Below are 21,371 nucleotides of genomic sequence, written 5' to 3' on the forward strand. Positions count from 1 at the left end.
AACACAGGTGCCGCCACTAAGTCCCTCAAGCCCTTCGTGAGCCTAGAGCCACAGAGCCATTTGCTGCACTCCCACAATCTCTAACCACCCTGCACAGAAGCCCAGTTTATCCAAAGGACCATAAAATTTTGCGTGTAAACACTTGAAGTTTGGCATAATGAACTGAAAGTTAAGTCACCACTTCTATTTTCCATTAACCCAATCATTCAAACAAGTATCTCTTGAGTATGTGCATTGAATACTGTGGAATTAGGATTTAGTCCATGCCTTCAAGAAACATACATCATAGAAGAAAAGGTATATAGCTTGTAACTTTAAGAGTGGCGAACAAGCAAGAAATATACATCATAGGAGAAAAGGTATAGCTTGTAACTGTAACAGCGGCAAACAGGCAAGAAATATACCTCATAGGAGAAAAGGTATACCGCTTGTAACTGTAAGAGTGGCGAACAGGCAAGAAATATACCTCATAGGAAAAAACGTATACGCTTGTAACTAACAGTGAACAGGCAAGAAATATACCTCATAGAAAAAAGGTATACGCTTGTAACTGTAACAGTGGTGAACAGGCAAGAAATGATACCTCATAGAAAAAACGTATACGCTTGTAACTGTAAGAGTGGCGAACAGGCAAGAAATATACCTCATAGGAAAAAACGTACAGCTTGTAACTGTAAGAGTGGCGAACAGGCAAGAAATATACATCATAGGAGAAAAGGTATAGCTTGTAACTAACAGTGGCGAACAGGCAGGAAATATACATCTTAGGAGAAAAGGTACAGCTTGTAACTAAGAGTGGTGAACAAGCAAGAAATATACATCACAGGAGAAAAGGTATAGCTTGTAACTAACAGTGGCGAACAGGCAGGAAATATACATCATAGGAGAAAAAGTATATGCTTGTAACTGTAAGAGTGGTGAACAGGACAGAATTTCACAGGCTCATCAGAAGCAGCCAAGGAGGAAGCAGTGATTCATTTCCATCTGCAGTGGATAAATGTTTCCTGGAGAAAGTAACCTTTTCTACAGTGATATCTGATCCTTATTGTTTAGATCTTGCTTGATAAGGTATTAAATTACCACTTTCTATGTGCTGCTTATATAAAATACATCACTGTCAAGGGTGGTTATAAGTTATAAAATAACTTAAATACTTCACAAAACCTTGGGCTGTGAATGGTGCGAGGAAGTGGGACCATGTGTTCCCGTGTTCTTGAGACACAGAAGGGGCAAGACCCCGGTTCCCTTCTCCTCCCCACTGCCCTGTTCCCAGATGAGGGGCAGAGGCAAGGCTGCCGTGGAGTCCTAGAACTGGCTCCAGGGCCAGGACACCGCGCACAGATTCTGCACCCCATGTGAGAAATACAGCCTGGGGAGCAATCACCGAGTTGCCTGGCAGTGGGGAGTGAGTCCTTCATCAAAAGGCATCAGGAAAACTTCCAGGTGCTCCTGAAACCTGGGCACAGAGTCACAGCCTGGCAGGAAGCACCAGTGATGCAGGTGTGCCCGAGACAGAGGATAGACAGACACTTGGAGGCCAGACTGGCCTGCAGGAGATGACCACTTCTCTCTGGTTCGTCAGAGACAGAGTCTGGGCTTCACTTTTGTATATGGAGTCTCACAGTACAGAAATATCACAAAGGGATTAGACTTCATATACTGACCCCAAGTAATTTTTTCATTTAAAAAAAATCATGTTTATCACAACTAATTCTAATTCCAACAAAGAAAAATAAGTGTAAAAATGCATGCCTATAAAATGTAAACCACAATCTCTTTACCCATATGAGACCCAAAATTTAGTTTATGTTTTCTTCAGTATTATTTTTTTTTTTTCCCAAGCCATTACTGAGGTCTCTCCTCACTGCCCCATGAGGAGGTTCACGGGCTCTTCTGGGCTCTTTGCTGTTTTATTGTTTTTCAGTTTTAAGGGCAGGATCATTTTCCCACACGTTTGCTTCCTTCATCACCAATTTTTCATAAGGACAACATCGTGCGTCGGAAAACCTAATAACCGAACTTCATTAACGGTGAAAGAGTAAGGACACGCTGGCTACTATGACAGAGCATCCTCAGTCGCCGAATCTCCCTGGGTGACCAGGCACACCCCCAATCTCCTTGGAACCCCAGCATGCGGGTATCTCTGTGGCTGACAGGACTGGCCCACCCTGGGGGAGGCATGAAAGCAAACAGAAGAGAAGGCAGGTGACTCATATTTAGGAAACTCAGGTGATCCTGTTGAGCCGTGTCTCTCAGGGTATCTGGGGACCAGCCACGTGAGGGGAACCTCCTGGCCTGGCAGGTGGCAGACTCCTGGGACCCACCTCAGATGCGTTAATCAGAGAATCTAAAGGCAGGCAAACTATGAAAAGAATCTATAGAGGAAGGACTAGCTCTGCTGTAAGCCCACTACACGCAAGGTCACGCAGGATGCCACTCTCAAGCCACACGGCGTCCAGTCTCCGTTCCACCCCCACGGGAGGAACACCCATCTTCAAGTCACAGAACACGGTCTTCAGCGAACACCCTTCCTGCATGACCTCCACTGTTGCCCGGCCCTGCAGCAGCAGCCGCTGAGTAGGGGAAACAAGCCTTTGCTCCTGACCCTGCCCCCAACACACCTCAAATTCTCAAGGAAATCCTGTTACAGTCCAGTCGCAGCAGACTCCCTCACAGCACCCACCTCTCCCACAATCGGATCCCAGGACAGCACCCACCCACCCCCCCTTCCATAGCCGGATCCCCGGACAGCAACCACCCACCCCCTTCCACAGCCGGATCCGAGGACGGCACCCACCCCTCCCACAGCCGGATCCCAGGACAGCACCCACCCACCCCTCCCACAGCCGGATCCCAGGACGGCACCCACCCACCCCTCCCACAGCCGGATCCCAGGACGGCACCCACCCCTCCCACAGCCGGATCCCAGGACGGCACCCACCCACCCCCTCCCACAGCCGGATCCCAGGACGGCACCCACCCACCCCTCCCACAGCCGGATCCCAGGCTTGTCCTGGGCCCCGCTGCGCACACCACCATCTCTGACACTCGGACCTCAGAGTGTCATCACGCAGCCACCCACACCTTCCCAAGAGGGGGATCCACACGCCCTGGCAGCGGCCACCTGACTCTACCAGGACATTTTGGAGGTTCCTCAGCAAACTCAACAGCCTTAGACTGAACACAGCTCCTCCCTCACAGACCCAGTCACTCCAACGTGTCACCATCTGCTATAGACACATGAAACAAACCCCTTTCCCTCCACAATGTTGCCACCCTGCCCACTGGGGCCTGGCCCTGCATCCTGTCCACACTTCCATTTCAGGATATTCTGCTGGAATCAACAGCCCCAGACTCACCCCCAACACCTACCACATTGAAAACAACGTTTTTTCTTGATGCATCAAGCGAAAGACAGAAAACCACCCTAAACAAGTGTGTGCCTTGAGTCACAGAGAGGAACATGCTGTGAGCCCCGACCCTGGAAGGGATCTGTGCACCTGAGTCCTTCGTAGCCCTGTCCTGACCTTCACAGCCCATCAAACCTACATGCACTCTCTCCTCTCTCTCTCCAGCTCACAGCCAGATTCTGCCATTTTCCTCAGCTTTAAGACAACAGCCAGGGCTTCTCAGATGGCCCAGGAGCCAGCCCTCGATGGTCCCACACGGCTGTGTGCTCCCTCCTGCAGAGCTCAAAGCTGGTCAGTGTGGCCCACGGGACACGGCCAGGAGACCGGCCACCTTGACACTGGGCGTAAGACCAGCACTCCTATGTCTCTGCAGAAAGGAGCAGCCCTGGGCAGGGATGTGCCTGGCAGCCCCACAGAGGGACCGGTGTGGAGGACCAGGCCTCCGCCAGCAGACACGTCAGCACAGCATCCTGGAGCAGAACCTCCAGCCCAGCTGAACCTACAGATAGCCACAGCCCTGGACAGAATCTTCACCGTGACTCAGGGGGACAGGGCCAGAACCACTCAGCAGAGCTGCCCTAAATTTGCAACCTGTAGAAGCTGTACAGTCATACGTGTGTGTTGCCTTAAGCCACTAGGTTTTGGAGTCACTTGTCACACAGCAACAGACAGTGGATGCAGACAGGCTCCCAGGCCATGATGGCCTCTGCTGGCCTCACCTGGGCTGTCTCATCTGTTCCCACGACATCACGTTTCTCAAAGCCAAAGGCTGCCAGGACCCCCTTTTCTTCACAAAGTCGTTACAAGCTCACAATACCAAGTGAAAAACAACAATCTGTAAAATGCAACATATGACCCAATACAGGGTGGTGAGTGCACAGGCACATACACATGTGGGGGTGGGGGTGGGGGTGGGGGTGGGGGCGGGGGAGGGGATGGGCAGGGCAGGGGAGGGGAAGGGGGAGAGGATGGGTGGGAAGGGGGAGGGGGAGGATGGGCGGGGAGGGGGCGGGGGCAGGGGCAGGCAGGCAGGCAGGGGGAGGGGGCAGGAAGGCAGGCAGGCAGGCAGGAAGGGGGAGGGGGCAGGGGCAGGCAGGCAGGCAGGGGGAGGGGGCAGGGGCAGGCGGGGAAGGGGGCGGGGAAGGGGGAAACCCCAGAGGGCGAAACCCTGGAGGGCTGGAGGCAGGAGGGATGCTCCCTGGCAACCTCACAGGGTGCCGTCACATGACAGGGCGGACACATGACAGAATTATAATAAAATGCTTAAGAAGAGTAAGCAACAGCATCTTCAGATTAGGGTAGTGTCCTGGTTTCACGCTTGCCTCATATGACATTCTATAAATTGGAAAGATAACGCATTGTCTTACCAGCCACGCTGTTCCCCAAATACTAACTATGATAAAGACTAGACAGCATCTGAGTACTGAGCATGCGTCAAGCCCAGTGAGGTAGGAATCCTTACTTTGCTAGAGAAAGAAACAGGTTCTGAGAGAACCTTCCTGAGGCCACACAGCTGTCTCCAAACCCACCTCCCGCTTCCTGACCCTGAACCAGGATGGGAGGACTCGAGTCATGTGTGTGAATAATTTACCTGGATGCATCTCACGGATTGAGATTCGACCCCCAGACCTAATCATCTCTATTCAGAAATGCGTAAAGGAAGGTGCAGTTGTATCACCACGAGCTGGGGGAACAAAGGCAGGCACCCTCGATGTAGATACGGGGGGTGGAGGCGGGCGCCCAGCGCAGGGGGACAGGAGCACGTCCAGCCCAGCCCAGTCACACAACCACCCTGCCATGCCAGTGCGGGGGCCCACCATCGCGTCTCGGGGAAAGGCAGCTTCTCCTGCACAGGAATCTAAGCCTGAAAGTGTGTTTCTGAGAAGGTGTGGACCAACATCTCGGAAATCAGACACTGTAACATGCTTATCTATACAGGCCGCCTATGTCAGGGAATCACCAATAATTCCCATCTCGCCATCAATTATTTCTGGTAAATATTGATTATTTTAAGTTAACAGAGGCAACACAGGAACAAAATAATGGCAATGTCAGTGAATCTGCTCTCCCACTGAAGAGCTGGGGCTAATGATGAAATAGAAGGAGACTTGGAGAACACAGCAGGACCCCAGACACCACGGACCACCCGACCCCTCCCCCACCGACAGCCCAACCCCTCCCCCGGCAGACCACCCCACCCCCTCCACAGGTGAGTTAGGTCGTGGGGCCAAGGAGTGGTTTCCAAGGAATCTCAGAGGTTTTCAAGGTCTTGCAAGTTTAACGGGAGTTGAATATTTGCATCTGAGTCACACAAGCACATTAAAAGTAAAATTTCTCCTTTCCACTAGAATTATGAGCTTGGGGCAGCAGCACTGGCTGTATCTCATATGCTCATGAGACCCTTTGGAGGCAGCTGTACATCTCAGGTGAATCACTTTAATAATGAGAGAAGTGCTTGGGCCCTCGATCCGGGACCACAGACCCCACGACGAGGGTCTAACCAGGACAAGCCTCGGCCTGGAACAGCTGGTGTCCATGGGGGCGGTGGGGAACGCCGGGGGAACGCCGGGGGAAGCCCCACACAAGCTCGGTGTGTCCTACCCCACACACAGTCGGCATCAGCCACAGGGGTCTTTTGTTGTTTTTGTTGAGGAAGGAACATATTTAAAAGCCCAGGGCCTGGACTCCTCAAAGCTCCCCACAGACCTGGGTTAATCGGCACCTTCCCTCATGTTAAAATCAACAACTATATATGGCTGCTGACAGCACCTCAGAGCAGATGCAACACTGGGCTTTCTTGGTGTCTGGAGAAAGCAGGAATTCCAGGTCTCTGCCTTCCTACCTCCCCAAAGGCTCTGGCCCAGATGAGCTCAGGTTCTTCCAGGTAAGGAGTACAGACCAGCTACCCACATGCCCCTCAGGGTCACACAGCAGCTGTGCAGACTCTTGCACCATGCACAAGCCCTCACAACCCACCCCAGAGGAGGAAGCCCAGCCCCGGAGCCCCATGGCCCCGGCCTGGCAGGAGGCCACTGCTGGGGCCCCTGCTCAGGGTTCAGCACAGCACGGTCCAGCCACACCGGGTGAGACATCCACCCACCTGGCCATTCGTCTTTAACCTAAAACAGACACAGGAATTCAGGGAGGTGTTCCTTCCCCTTGATGAACTCATTGCTCCGGTTCTCACCTCTCCCCCCCACTCCTGTTCTCCTCTCCCCCCGATCCAGTTCTCACCTCTCTCCCCACCCCCTCCGGTTCTCACCTCTCCCTCCTGCCCTGTCACAGACACCCAGCACTGCGCCCAAGGCCTGACTCCCAGTTTCACAGGGAAACCAAGACAATCATGATTTTAGAAACTGGGAGCTAGGTGTAAAATGAGTCAATAAAGCCAGTGTCCACTGATCATCCCTCCACGCACAGCAGAGAGCAGTCCTCGGGATAAAACCCACAGGGGTGGAGAAGACACGCGATCAAGGTGGACAGGATGGAGGAGTCACAAAGAGGGGAGGTTCGGAGAATGAGGCCATGTGAACACAAAGCTAAAGTGCTCAGCGGCTGGAAGACAAAAGCTGCACAACACAAGAGACAAGCTAAACACAACCATTTAAAAAAAAAAAGAAAAAAGTGTCACTGTTAAGTAGGAGTCCATCAGGATTTAAGTTCTCGAGTCACTTAATGTATCAGCACACAGACTTCTCATAATGCCTGAAACTCGCGGCAGTGAACACGTGAATCAGTTCTCCCAAGTCCATTGTTTTGATAGGCCTCTTGATTCTCAGGCTGGTTTCAAAGTAAGCTTTCTGTTTGCTGATAACTTAATAATTAACATACTTGAAAACACATTGACTTTCAAATTAATCTGCTAATAAAATATTAATTACCACACGGGCTATCATCCACAGAAACAACGTAATCACTTTCTGGTTGTAAAAGCATTAAAATTCTAGGCCCCCCTGGCCATCTCAACAGCCCCTACTCTTGGCAAGGGCATTCCAAAGCTAACCTGAAAAACTAGTCCAGGCCATGATCGGTGGGGGGTGGGACTTGCCTTATCACCCCGCCTCCCTTCTGGAATTAGACAGAACTTAGACTCTTAGCCTGACGGGAAACATTCACAATCTATTCTCTTCAAAGCTACCTGGAGGCATCCCTCCACATGACAAAGCCTTGGTCTCCACACAACCCCTTAATCGTACAACTCTCTCAACCAACTGTCAATCAGGAAATTTTTGAATCTACCTATGACCTGGACACCCCTGCTTCCAGTTGTCCCCGCGTTTCCAGATCAAACCAATGTACATCTTACATTTATTTGATTGATGTCTCATGTCTCCCTAAAAGGTACAAAACCAGGCTGTGCTCTGACCACCTTGGGAATAGGTTCTTAGTATCTCCTGAGGGCTGTATCGTGGGCCATGGTAACTCATTTGGCTCACAATAAATCTCTTTAAATACCTTACAGAGTTTGATTCTCTTTGCTGACATGGTACCTTTCATGTGTATTTATTTTGGGGCAGGTTAAAGGGGACTCACAATGGATTGGAGGCAGCAATTGCCCACTGTACGAGAAGTCTCTGCAGACTGAGAGCCACTGGCATGGGGACTCCAACCCCTGAAGCAGCAGCTCTCCCATGTCCCAAGGCCTGAGAGACCTGCACCTCCAGGGCCTCTCATTTGAGAGTCTCAGCAACAACGCAACCAAACGTGATCAACATCACAGAATGTTCCTCAAGGCTTTTGGCTGTTGCTTCTCCCCAAGTTTACTCCTCTAAAACCACAATGGGAACAGTCGGAACAGGATGGTTCTCAGCCACTGACCCTCCTGGTAACGCACTGTCTCCAAGGCCCTTTCCCGCCAGTCACAGCTTCCTTCAAGTCAGGCTTGAAGGCCACCTCCCCAGGAAGGAAACCTCTTCAATCCAGCAACACAACTCCTGGTCCCGTCTAGAGCTTGTCTGCCAGGAAGGGAAGACTCCTCATTCCAGAGAGAGCAGGTGCCACAAAACTCAGTGTTTTCGCCATTGTGAAGGCAAATACTCATGAAATTAATACACTTTTTCCTCCTTAGATACTGACAATTCCTCTTCTGGAGGTCAGCCAAGGCCATCTGCACGAGTCACGCGTGACAGCTCTAGCCCCACCTTCGGTGTCAGCAGTGCGGCTCCGCTGAGACCCTCCTGCACCAGCCGGGCCGTGCACCTGTTCCTACAACTGCTGTCACCAGACTATAGTGATTCTAAAATAATCAGCAAGCGGACGTTCCGAAGGATGCATTTTAAAGAAAAATGTGTAAGCTTTACTGCATGAAATCAGCTACATCTTTTGCTACTCCAAAGGCTTTTTGTTTTGCCTTCTCAAGGTTCTCCACAATGATCCTGACAGTTAAGGTTCCCAGTTACAGGCAGAGGGTTGGGCAGGCCGCATCTGATGTTTAACACACACAGAGGATCCACGTCAAAGGATTTTCCCTGTTCACCAACATCATCAGGACAAACTTTAAGCAGCAATAATTTCCCTGTCTGGAAAATTGAGCTCACTTGAGCACTAATGCAACAAATGTGTTTGACAAAGTTACAGGTGGACCTTCTAGTGAATGAATCACTATTTCAAGGAGGATAATGGCTCACTATTCAAAGGCATGTTTTTGTCAGTTTTTATAATTTCAGTCTCCTTCATTTGAATCATGAAGTGAGACTTGTACCTGATACATTACAGAATCTCTACGAAATAGACGAAATTCCAATTCTGTACATTCACTCTCATTCTTTTCCATATGCACACGGATGGTCGTAATTTAAGTTGGCATTCCAACAGGATTTCTAAATTAAAATTTCTACTTTAAACATTACGTGTTAAACATTAAACATTCCATTGCTAAACATTTATAACAGGGTCTGCATGGCCAGTTTTAAAGATTTCTTCCTCACTGAAAACAAGTGTTCTGTTCCCTCAGAGAGCTTTTCATATATTTAACCAATAAATGGTCTACTCTAAAATATTCTAGAGACAGATACATTTGGAGAGGACACACTCAACACAGAAATCCATAACATCAAACAACAGTGCACAACCAGCAGTGACAGTGGAAGAGCTGCCATGTGAGTGCCCCTAAAAATACACACAAGCCTGGCTGCTTAAAAGGAATGAATATAGCTAAATACTCTTCTGTGAACATTGACGTGTGCAACCTTATAAAGTCTACTGCCTTGCAGAATCCTCCTAGCTGAGCAGCAGTAATCTTCCTTGAAGGCTTTTCTCACCTACACTGCCTACAAGTGCTCTCTGGGCAGTATTGTGTCTTTGTTTAGAATATCACAGTATCTGGAGGCCTGTAATCTGAAGTCAGGGCCTTATCATAAATCAGACACCATCCCCCTCAGGGCTAGTGGGCCAACTTCGACTAATGCAGACTGTTCCACAGTGCCCTGCAGGCGGGCTTGGTGCATCCATACGATTTTAAGGCTTGGGGCTGCCATTTTCTGCAGTCACAGATGCAGACTTACATATTCATAATGACTGAAAGCAGCACGTATTTTTATGTTCCTTCCGTAATGGTGGTAATAATAATGGCAATATTTCCCCGATCCTTTAAAAAACCTCCTAACAGCAGTTGTATTCCACCCCCTTCCTTAAAATTAGTAGAATTTACCAAACTAGGTGAAATGAGTCTTCATGAGAAAGTGACAAATCAGTATTCATGCAATGGCATAGTAGCTAGGCATACAGTGTACGTCAACATCCCAAACTAAGCACCCATCACAGTATTTCCAACTCGCAGGAAAGCTAGAAAAATCAGAAGGCTTAAAATATAATTATAGCAGAATTTCACAACAATGAAAATGAAAAAGAAACCAAAGTTTCTGAGGAGCATTTGTTAGCAAAGCAAGGAAAGCCATTAACCAGTGCTGATTACATTGCATTTGATTACAGCAGCCAAAGATGCGTCCAGAGGAAGAGAGACTTTTAAAGATTATTAGTCTTTCGGTGAGAATGGTTGCTTAACAAGTTCAGACTACTGGGCTATACCAATAGTCAAGAACAAGTTCAGACTACTGGGCTATACCAATAGTCAATTAAGAAGCAAGGCAAATGAGTGTGAGTCATTTTCCTTAGTTCTTAATGTGTCAAAAATCCCAACACTGCTGAGGTCGCTCATTCAGGGAATCGATGCTGAATTTGAAGAAACTGAAGAATTAAAGTCTGTGAATAATCTGAATGGATCAATTATTTGAGAGAAGATTTCAAAGCTGAGAAAACACTAATTCTACAGAACCTGAAGTGGAATCTGCTAAGATGTGTCATAACTAATCAGGTAAAAAATATGGAACAGAAAAAGACTTAGGGGAGCAAATTCTCAGACCCTGTGAGAATATAAAGTGTCTGAGTCCATGGTGGTCCTCTCATTACTCACTAGCAGGCCCTCGGGGGAGAACGTTCCCCCCACCCCCGCACGTGGTTGAGGCAGCAGCGTCTGGGTGAACGTCACTGGCTCTCTTGGACATAACCATCCTCATCTCCTTGATCTCTCCAGCCCACAGCTCCATCTCCTCAACCACAGATCACCCTCCCCACACCCCAGCCTGGACGTCACCTTGGGGCAGCCTCACTCACTCCCCTTCTCACCCACAGGCCTTCACTGCCTGACGTCCAAAGCCTTAAGAACCATTGTTCCACATATTTTCTCCAGGGACAGGGGCAAGTCTAGTACCTGTTATTCCATCTTGGCCAGTAGCTGAGGGCCAAGCGCAGCAGAGCTAAGGGTGTCCACACAGAAGCTGAGCACTGTGTTCTGATCCCAGGTCTGCCGCTGGACTCTGTGGCATTTTGCCTGTCTCCTTTTGACCTCTGTTTCCTCATCTCTAACATGAGGTAAAAGAAGTTCCCTCCTTAGCGGATTTCTGTGAGGACTCAATGAGCCAATATGCCCGAAGCATTCAGCATAGCGTCCAGCAGACACCAGGCACTGCACAGAACTCAGCCTACTCGGCCGAACACACCAGCCACCTCCACCCAGTGCTCTTCCCATCTCAGAAAAAAACACATAACACGTGAGCAGAAACTGGAAAACAACAAATATGTTCCCAACCTGACTTCCTAGAAGACTCACACACACAGTAGAAATCTTTCTTCTCTGTGTTTGTCAATCACCTTTACAATAAATCCAAGCAAAACCACATTAGAACTCAGTGAGTTTAACATCTACTGGAAACCTGGTGAAGATGAAGAGTAAACACTTTTCTGGTCCCCTTTGCTACCAGCAATTTCCCTTCCTCTATTCAATGGCAAACCAGGTGCTGTAGGAGAGGGCGGTTCCATCACTCCCCTAATTGGTTAGGAAGCTTTCCATGGAGCCTGGACCACCCCTAGTCAGTATCAGGGCCTCGAGTGAGCACAGGCAAGAGAACACGTCCATTCCATCAATAGACTAAGCGTGAATGTCCTCTCTGTACAAAGCATCATGCTGGCATTTGTACATACACAGCATTTAAGAACCTTAAGAGTACCGCCCTTCCACAAGTTTAAATTCAGCTGAGGAAACCATGTGACTCCTAAAAATATGAAACAGTACCTGCATTCTAAAAAAAAAAAAAAAAAGACCTAGACAAACACACACAACCCCATAATGCAGAGTCAAACTTTCAAAACCACACATCTCACATGCAGTGAAACTGTCAGCAACTACAGTCAGCCCAGAAGATCCCTTTTTCCATCTTAGCTCTTTTTAAACAAGGCATATGATGAACAATCAGTTTTTCCAATCGTAAGAGAGGCATTTTCCACAGACTACTAACCCAACTTCACCTAGAATTTAAAACCATGGAATTCACACATGCTAAAGGAATAAGGATGTAAAATGGTGTGTTTCCCGTTTGCTACATGTAAGCTTCATTTTTAAAGGTATATCATCAAATGCACTTAAATTTCAAACTCCTGCAGTTGCCCAAAACCCAAGCATAAAAATATGTGCTTACAGTCGCGTAACGGAGTCGAGCGCAGCAAGGAGACTAAAGCAGGAGTTACCCTCTCAGGCTGGCGCCCTTCTCCGAGGTATGTAACAGCCTAATAACTGAGTCCAAGGGTGGAAGGAAACCACTGACCAGCACTTCACACGTTGGGAAGCAGGCAGGGCCATGTGGGCTCCCGGCTTTGATTTGCTGTTTCAGATCCACGTCACCCACTCTCCTGCTGGAGGCAGCACCTTGGACTCCTGCAAAGGCCGGCATTCAGACACTGTCAGAACCCTGACAGAGAGGGGCGGATTCCAAACTCACCAGAAAAAACAAAACAAAAAAACCACGTATCTCAACACTGGGACATGCTCTAAGAATAGAAACTTCTAAAATCAATGCCTTATTTTAGGACTTTAGTAGTTTACATTTTAGAGTGTCTGAAGAAACAATTTTTTGCCCCTTTTTAAACTGTAATCGTAGTTACCATTAAGAGTGTCTGAAGAAACAATTTTTTGCCCCTTTTTAAACTGTAATCGTAGTTACCATTTATTAAAAGCCTGGCCAGGAATCTTACCAACATACTTTTTCACGTGACCCTCGCGGGGTAACCGCACCAGGCCTTCCTCAGAAGCAGTGTTGCTGCTGCCGGTTCACCTGGTGCATGAGCCGCTGACCCACCAGAGGCGCCACCAAACCCTGGAGTGTTACAGTTGCCTTTCCTCTCGAGTAGCACACCACAAACAGCACAGACACACCGCACACTGATATTTTTACAGTTCAGTTAGACTTTGACACTTACACGTTCAGATAGCAACACAGATGCTGCTGCTGAGGAGACAGGTGTCAGCACCTTTTCCTGCCCTCTCCAGAGGCGAGGGCCCATGAGCCCCAGCACACAGAAGCCCAGGCTTTCTTCATAGCAACCCCTGGCCAAGATTTCTTGGGTCTCTCGCCATGGAGGCGGTGTTCTCAAAGACAACAACGGTGCCTCTGAGGGTCCCAAGCAGGGTACAGCCGTGGCCCACGACTGCTCAAAGTCAGGCCCATCGGACAGACAGCCTGGCTCACAGGCACCATGCGGAGCAGCGTCTATGGCTGCTGTGATGCACAGCTAGCGTGCCACAGAGACATCTCATCCACAGCACGTACTGCCTCTGAACCAAGGCTTGGATGAGAGAAATCCCATTCCATACACCATCAAATGCTGAGGGAGCCATCTCAGAACTGATGTTCCGGTGGCTCAAATCTCTTTGAGATGAACTGACCTATTCAGAAAGGGAAAAATAATTCTTTGTAATTGGAAAGAAGCTAAACGTTAAGACTCAACTTGGTTGCACAAAACCCAGATCAGCATCATCTGAGAATCTGGAATTACACGTATCCAGGGCCCATCTCAGAGCTGCCAAATCAAATCCAACTCCGGCGGAAGGAGGACAGGCACCGGTTTTGGGGGGTTTTTTGTTTTGTTTTGTTTTTTTTAAGACACAATATCACTCTGTCGCCCAGACCAGAGTGCAGTGGTGCAATCTCAGCTCACTGCAACCTCTACCTCCCAGATTCAAGCAATTCTCCTGCTTCAGCCTCCTGAATAGCTGGGATTACAACAGGTGCATGCCACCACACCCAGCTAATTTTTTTATTCTTAGTAGAGATGGGGTTTTACCATGTTGGTCAGGCTGGTCTCGAACTCCTGACCTCGTGATCCACCCACCTCAGCCTCCCAAAGACAGGCATCTGTTTTAACAGCCACCCCTGCTCCCAGCCACAACACAACTGAAAGTTAGCAGATAATTAACTGGGCTGTTGATTCTCTTAATCAGAAAAGACTTCCTAAATCATCTGAATATTTCTGCCAAACAAACATTCTCTCCTCTGCTTACAAGCCGTGAGCACCAGTCAGCATGACATAGAAAAGTTTGGTTTTGTTTTTCTGTGACAGTCTCGCTGTTGTCCAGGCTGGAATGCAGTGGTGTGATCTCTGCTCACTGCAGCCTCCGCCTCCCAGGATCAAGGGATCCTCCTGCCTCAGCCTCCAGAGTAGCTGGGACTATAGGTGTACACCACCTCACCCTGCTGATTTTTAGTTGAGACAGGGTCTCACCATTTTGGCCAAGCTGGTCTCGAACTCCTGACCTCCGGTGATCCACCCACCCCAGCTCCCCAAAGCACTGGGATTATAGGTGTGAGCAATCGCGCCTGGCCGAGAAGTGTTTGATAGAGGCTGAGGGGAGGCTCCCATCCCATCCCAGGACATCCACGTCCCACCGAGCTTCCCACACCGACTACAACACTCGAAGCATCACAGCAAGGGCAGCTGCATCCCCGCAGTTCTCTGCACTAATGCCACAGCTGCGTGAGCTGTCACAGCCCTGGAGCTCCACTCAGCCTTGTTGTGTTGGCACAAGCACAGCAGAAACCACCAAGCCCCCAAAAGGGAGGAGTGCGGCCCAGGGACTGAACCAGGAGGCTCCAGGGGTAGCGAGTTCACACACCTCAAACACCTCTCACATCAATCCCCGTGCAGGGAGGGGATGGAAGCCACACAGGACCTGCAGTGCTTTCTCCTTGCAAATGAGGAGTGAAGATACCGACTCATGCGTGAAATCAGAGCTAGAGTTCTACCGTGGGGTGAGACGCTGTTCAACAAGTTTCATAGACCCAAATGAGAGCAAAAAGAAACGAATCATCCAAGATCAGTAGAAGGAAAGGGATCAGAAATTTAAGCCTGTAACAAGCTTTCGGAAAAAACTTCACTTGAGGCCGGGCGCGGTGGCTCACGCCTGTAATCCCAGCACTTTGGGAGGCCGAGACGGGCGGATCATGAGGTCAGGAGATCGAGACCATCCTGGCTGACACGGTGAAACCCCGTCTCTACTAAAAATACAAAAATTAGCCAGGCATGGTGGCACGCGCCTGTAGTCCCAGCTACTCGGGAGGCTGAGGCAGGAGAATGGCGTGAACCCGGGAGGCGGAGCTTGCAGTGAGTCGAGATCGCGCCACTGCGCTCCAGCCTGGGCGACAGAGGGAAACTCCGTCTCAAAAAAAAAAAAAAAAAAAAAAAAAAAAAAAAACCTTCACTTGATCTGCAAGATGGCTGTGGCTCTGCCTGATCGTTTCTGCAAATGTCTACCTGCAATGAGCCATCTCAGAGCCGTTCAAGAGTAACAAAATCAAAAATGCCAAGGCACGCTCCGTATTTTAGATGGCCTGCAACAAGGAGGAAATGAACAGCTGTGCCAGAGCTTTCAAAGTTTGTTTGAAGTAAATTCCAGCATGAGGGCAGCGGCTTCCTGGCTGAACCAATGAAGTGGGCTCCTGCTCACTGCATGGGAGATCAGCTTTCAGGTAAGGTGCGGTCAAGGGTCTGCAAACCACAATCCCCGAGCCTTGGCCAGGGAACCAGAAGTGATTTTTACACTTCAAAGTTTTAACAAAAGAAAAAGAATATGCAGAGACTTCCGTGGCCCACAAGGCATAACACATTGCCTACCCTGCCCTTTACAGAAGCTTCTAGCTTTGCTGTCAGCTACAAAGTGTTTCTATAAAATAATGTCATTGATTCTCAAGCATGCCAGGAAAAGTCACACTTTTGAACAACCCTCAATGGAGATGCACCATCCTGTGTTTAACACAGATTTGAGTTTTGTAAAAGCCAAAACAAGGGAGGCAATTCAGCTAAGTATTATAGTAATACAATTTGAGATACATAATGATGTGTGACAACAGAATAACGAATTGGCATTCCCGTGAGAAAATGAACTAGCTCAAACTCAAACGCAAAATAACAAACCAAAGCATGTGTGGCCTCTTAAAGTGATCAGTGAAATTGGGAATAACATTCGGTTAAATGATACTCATTTGTTTTATATTCTTTTTTAAAAAAAAGCAAAAACAAAACAAATACCACTACACCATCACTCCTTAAATTTATTTAACTACTGCTGCAAAATAAAATGGAGAGACTTCTTACTGCAGGGTAATAATCAGCCATCGTCACCATGAAATAGACGGCTGTGCAGGCTCAGGCCCTCCTACCCACAAAGGCAGGGGTAGGGAGGAGAGAGGATGGCCACAAGGACATGGCAACCATGACCTAGTCAGCAATTCTACCCTCGCACACCTTTCCTCCTGACTTAAAATTTTGAAGCCATCTGGGTTTACCTTCCTATGTCCATAAGTCAGCAAGTTCTGGAAGCCAGAAATCTACAGTGCTTCTGGCAGCCAAGTCCTCTCAGCCTTCCCCCATGTTTTAGGGTCCTATCAGCTCACCCCTGGATAGTATCAATGGCCTCAGAGCTCCAGCCAACCTTGCACTCCACAGACTGAAGTATGCCAAGAGCCACTCAAGGCTGCCACTGCCACGACCAAAGGCTTTCAGAGATAGTCATAGCACTGCACAAATCCATGTGGCTTCATCAGGCACAAAGCAGCTCCAGCATTCCATCCAGCCTGTCATTGCCACCATAGCTGTGAGTCTATGACGTGTCAGGAAGGGAAGGAAGACACTATGTAGATCATCTCATTTAAACTTCACAGTGTCACAAGGTGGATTTTGTCGTGCCCATTTTATGGATCAGGAAACAGTTTTAAAGAGGCCAAGCACAGGGCCCTGCTGACACAGGAGCAAGCCCCACAAAGGCCTGGGCATGACCCCCAACCCCACACTCCCTAGGTCCTGACGTCCACTCCTCCCCTGTGGGAGACTGATCCTGGGTCTGCATGAATTGCTACCATTCCTAAGACATGACCCACATCTCTCCACCTCCTCCTTTACCAGTTTCCCGCAGCCCAGAGGCCTGCGCTCTTCCATCCAGCCAGACATCACACTTCAGTACCTGCACCCAACACTACTTCAGCCAAAAGCTTCTCTCAAACCTCCCCTACCACCCGACCTGCCAGTCACACAGGTCTGCACCTATCGCCTTTCTCACACAAATTCTCACGTATTCCTGTGTAGCACCATCCAACTGATTAAAGTCTGTTGAGAGGAGGAAGCTTTGTAGATAAGTCCACAACCTACTTTGCTCCCAGCACACTACCTTGCATGAGGCAACCGATTAACAGCAAATTCATTTCAGCACAACATTTCCATTTGAAGAAACGCAGAGCATGGAGCTCTGGTAATAATTAAAAGCGTGTTTCATTCATCATTTGAAATTCCATGTACTGCTGCAACAGCAGCATCCCCCTCCTCGCCAGGCTCTGCTCAACAGACGTTATTCTTCCAGCGCACGACTCCCACCGGAGCCCCGGCAGCAAGAGCCCCGCAGGCTTCCCAGCGCCCTGGGCTGCGGCTTCCACGCTGGACCGGCACTGGCCTAACGACACGAGAGTGGTGCCCCCACAATTACAGGATCTGAAGCTGGCCGACTGCTCTGTAGAATGGAGACATGTGAGGAATCCCTGACATTTCCAATGACAGGCCGCTCAGCTAAACCGGGAAAAATCCACAAAACAGAAAGAACCCACAGGGAGAAGCACTTCTCTCTCCAACCTGACAGCAAACAGTGGCTGTGCGGACGACCTCTTCGGGATAACGTCGACCACATCTCAGGTCAGCAACAGCCCCACTGAGGGCCAATCAGCTCCCCCCGGCCATCACACTTCCTAAGGGTCAGCCCTGCCAGGCCGCCTCTCCTGGAAAATCAGCTGTGACGCACCCGCGAGGGTCGGGAACCGGCTCCGGGGCTCATTTCCCAGGCTCCTGCCCACTGCCCTCTCTCTTCCTCTCCTCCTGCATCCCCCCTCCTTCACTCCCATTCTCCCTCCCCCTTTCACTTCCCTTCTTTCCTTTCCTCTCCCTCCCTCATCTCCTTTCAGCCCTCACCTTCCTCACTGCACTTCCCCATCCAACTCAGCTGACACATTCTCAGTCAGGTCAGTAGAGGGTTTTCTTTCACTCTGTTTTTATTGCAATGATTATTCTTAATGAACAGAAACGTGTTTTGGACCATCTGGATGCCACCTCATGACCAGCTGCTGCCCCGTGGGCTCCGTGTCCACTCAGTGTCCTCACGGCGCTGGTGCCCAGCAGTATGGCTGTGACCAGGGGTAGCAACATGGGACATGGGAGAGGTATCCCAGCCAAGAGGCCCTGCAAAGCTTCCCCAGCAAACCAGAGCAAGGCCCAGGGCAGTAGGGAGAGCACCGTGCTCATAATGTAAGCAGTTCAGCTTCCAAAAACTGTCCATCAACTGCGAATTATTTTGTATCCATGGTTACAAAAGAACCATAAGCATTCCGAAATATGTTCTTGGTTTCATGTTTGCGAAATCTAAGCAACATTATAATAAAAAATCACTGAATTCTGCCCGAGGCTCTAGGGGTGTTTTCCTCTCTGAAAGGAGACCCTTCTCGGGATTGAGTGACAGCCTTCGATCACGGTTATCCTAGTGGTAACAGGAGACTCCCTCAGCCTGCCGGGAGCTGGGGCCCTCGACAGCCTCATGGCTCCACACGCCAGTGTTCTAAGGATCACACGTGTGCAGACAGCACCTGGCATGTGTGCAGCAAGCTTTGCTAACACGCCCCAAACATCTCACTCATACTTGCTAACCACATCTCTTCTCTCAGCCTCCACAGCGTTTCACACTCTGCCTTTATATTGCAGTTAACTGTGCATCCTGAGCGCCACAAAAATTCAACTCCGTCCAGGCAGAGGGTTGCATCTTTCCATCACGGGGTCCCCATTCCAGCCAGCACAGGATTTGCAGAGTGGGTGAGTCTAATGTTGATGACACTCTCTCAATATTCCCATCACACCCCTCCAAAAACAAAAGAGTACTGCCAGCTTCTTACCGAGGTTGTAATGAGAAAAATAGTTTTCTATTATTTGTCACTTTTTAATGTAATACTTGTGAAGATGTGACTTTGTATGTACACTGTAAGCACTCACACGGTCAACATTCTGCTCTCCAGTGACTGTATTCACAGATCACAAGGACAAAACTTCTCCATAATAGACAAAAAAAAGTTTTTTAAAATGACTTCCATTCATCTGAAAGTCACAGATGCGGGTTTTCCTCCAAATGATCCACAAGCCAGCTTTAATAAACACGTTGGTGCAGGTGAGAAAATGACCCCTCAGTCTCCCTCCCCTCAAAGACCAGGGCAGCCAGGAAACTGCACTCTCCAGTAAATGACAGCCGGCGGGACTCGCTAAACAGGCAGCCGGAAGATTGCCATCTCGCAGAGAGAGACTTTCAAGACTCAAGATGTCCCCGCTCCCTGAATATCCTACAAAGGACAGGGCTACCCAACTGCGGACTGAGGCAGTAAATAAACATGTTTTCAGCAAATAGCATCATCCACCCACGAATGAGAGGTACCATTTTCATTCTCGGAGGGAAATGCTACAAAGCACGTACATTTTAGCATGTAAGTGAATTATTTGGGAGTTCCTGTGTCTGCTGTCATAATGCAGCATGTCACCTCAAAAGGCAAAGTTCTATAACTCACATCCAAGGAAGGGAAAATCATGCCAAGTTTTAGCAATCCAGTAACAACCTGATGATCAAGAGAAGCCTACTTGTTCCAGACTCTAAGCAGCAATATATTGCTACAATGTAATGAAAAAACAGGGATGATTAAGAAAATTTCAATGCTAATAAAAGACAAACATAACTGGATTTATTCTACTCTAGTTTACACAGAGCGCAGCCGGGCAGTTCACCCACATGTTATTATCGTTGCTGTTTTTCGGACAGGGTCGCCCTCTGTCAACAAGGCTTGACGGCAGGGGCGCCATCTCCACTCACTGCAAGCTCCGCCTCCCAGGCTCAAGCGATTCTCTTACTTCAGCCTCTAGAGTAGCTGGGACTACAGGTGTGCAACCCTCACACCCAGCTAATTTTTGTGTTCTCAGTAGAGATGGGGTTTCACCAGGTTGCCCAGGCTGGTCTCAAGCTCCCAGGCTCAAGCAATCCGCCCGCCTCGGCCTCCCAAAGTGCTGGGATTACAGGCATGAGCCATCACGCCGGCTTTTTTTTTCCTCTTTTCTTTTTAAGTGATTATGTGCTTCAGAGTCTTGTAGGTACTTAAAAAAAAAGAACAAGTAATTGTGTAAGAGAAAGAAACCATTAACACGTTTTACACATCTCAAAACTCACAAATGAAATGCCAAGAATAAAATGTATTTTATTCACAGAAGCAGCATTCTTCAAGTTCTATAAAGTGGTACCATGGACACACCACCACATCACAGACTAGAGCGTGACAGGACTGCTCAGATTCCAAACACGTTCTGAACGGTCCTCCCTGTCACTTTCCTCAACGGGAACACTTTATTCTGTCTTCTACTCAAATTAAGTATCTTGCAAGGGAGTTGAAGAAAACTGCATAGCAGATTTTAAAACTTCAATGCTTTTCTCAATTTTTGCCACGTTCTGATGCATTTTACTGACTACACGGCCAGTAAGTTTAAAGCTTTTTGCATCGATAAAGACATTGCTGCTTTTAGCAATAGGCTTTTTCTCTTATATACAAACATCTATAACTTAAGCTAGGAAATTGGGCATTTCACAAAGATTTTGCACAATTCCTAGCAGATTTTAGCAAAATAAAACCCACTGTTATCTTTCCGCAATTAAATAACCAAGGATAGGAAACTGCACGGTTAGAATAACCATTCCATTATTTTACATAAATACAAATGATAAAGTAGAATATGCTTTGGAAAGCAATATTTCAACATGCTAACGATGAAGCAGAAGACAATTCCTCAGCAGACAGCCTCATATGACGTGTGACAACGGAAGGACTCTGGCCCAAGCCCAGCTAAATGGAAACAGGGTACATGTATTAGTGATCGTGGTGGGGCACCCTGATAGCCACAGTCCAGGAAAGAACAGGTAACATCTTTCTTCTTCATGGGAAAACCGAAACATACTCAAGAGACCCTGATTCTTTGAAACACAATCTGCCCCAGCACTAACCTTCAGCTCCCATTGATAAAGTTTGCCATAACCACAGAGGTGTTTATCCAGGCCCTCGAAAATCAAGGCCATGGTAC

At 48.5% G+C, this 21,371-nt stretch overlaps 1 protein-coding gene across 5 annotated transcripts in view, besides 4 other annotated features; it reads right to left on the reverse strand.

Annotated features, from left to right (window-relative positions):
• DIP2C (disco interacting protein 2 homolog C) overlaps positions 1 to 21,371 on the reverse strand; it is a 415,468-nt gene that overhangs the window by 279,166 nt on the left and 114,931 nt on the right. The window lies entirely within an intron of this gene.
• Positions 3,171 to 3,744: an enhancer, noted in NCBI's record as "H3K27ac-H3K4me1 hESC enhancer chr10:602477-603050 (GRCh37/hg19 assembly coordinates)". NCBI's record gives its function as "activates a minimal SCP1, AML or CMV promoter by ChIP-STARR-seq in primed H9 embryonic stem cells {active_cell/tissue: H9 hESC(primed)}" and the evidence as "EXISTENCE:reporter gene assay evidence [ECO:0000049][PMID:30033119]".
• Positions 3,745 to 4,318: an enhancer, noted in NCBI's record as "H3K27ac-H3K4me1 hESC enhancer chr10:603051-603624 (GRCh37/hg19 assembly coordinates)". NCBI's record gives its function as "activates a minimal SCP1, AML or CMV promoter by ChIP-STARR-seq in primed H9 embryonic stem cells {active_cell/tissue: H9 hESC(primed)}" and the evidence as "EXISTENCE:reporter gene assay evidence [ECO:0000049][PMID:30033119]".
• Positions 17,207 to 18,066: an enhancer, noted in NCBI's record as "H3K4me1 hESC enhancer chr10:616513-617372 (GRCh37/hg19 assembly coordinates)". NCBI's record gives its function as "activates a minimal SCP1, AML or CMV promoter by ChIP-STARR-seq in primed H9 embryonic stem cells {active_cell/tissue: H9 hESC(primed)}" and the evidence as "EXISTENCE:reporter gene assay evidence [ECO:0000049][PMID:30033119]".
• Positions 18,067 to 18,924: an enhancer, noted in NCBI's record as "H3K4me1 hESC enhancer chr10:617373-618230 (GRCh37/hg19 assembly coordinates)". NCBI's record gives its function as "activates a minimal SCP1, AML or CMV promoter by ChIP-STARR-seq in primed H9 embryonic stem cells {active_cell/tissue: H9 hESC(primed)}" and the evidence as "EXISTENCE:reporter gene assay evidence [ECO:0000049][PMID:30033119]".

The sequence above is a fragment of the Homo sapiens genome, chromosome 10 (genome assembly GCF_000001405.40).
Source record: "Homo sapiens chromosome 10, GRCh38.p14 Primary Assembly".
Classification (NCBI taxonomy): domain Eukaryota; kingdom Metazoa; phylum Chordata; class Mammalia; order Primates; family Hominidae; genus Homo; species Homo sapiens.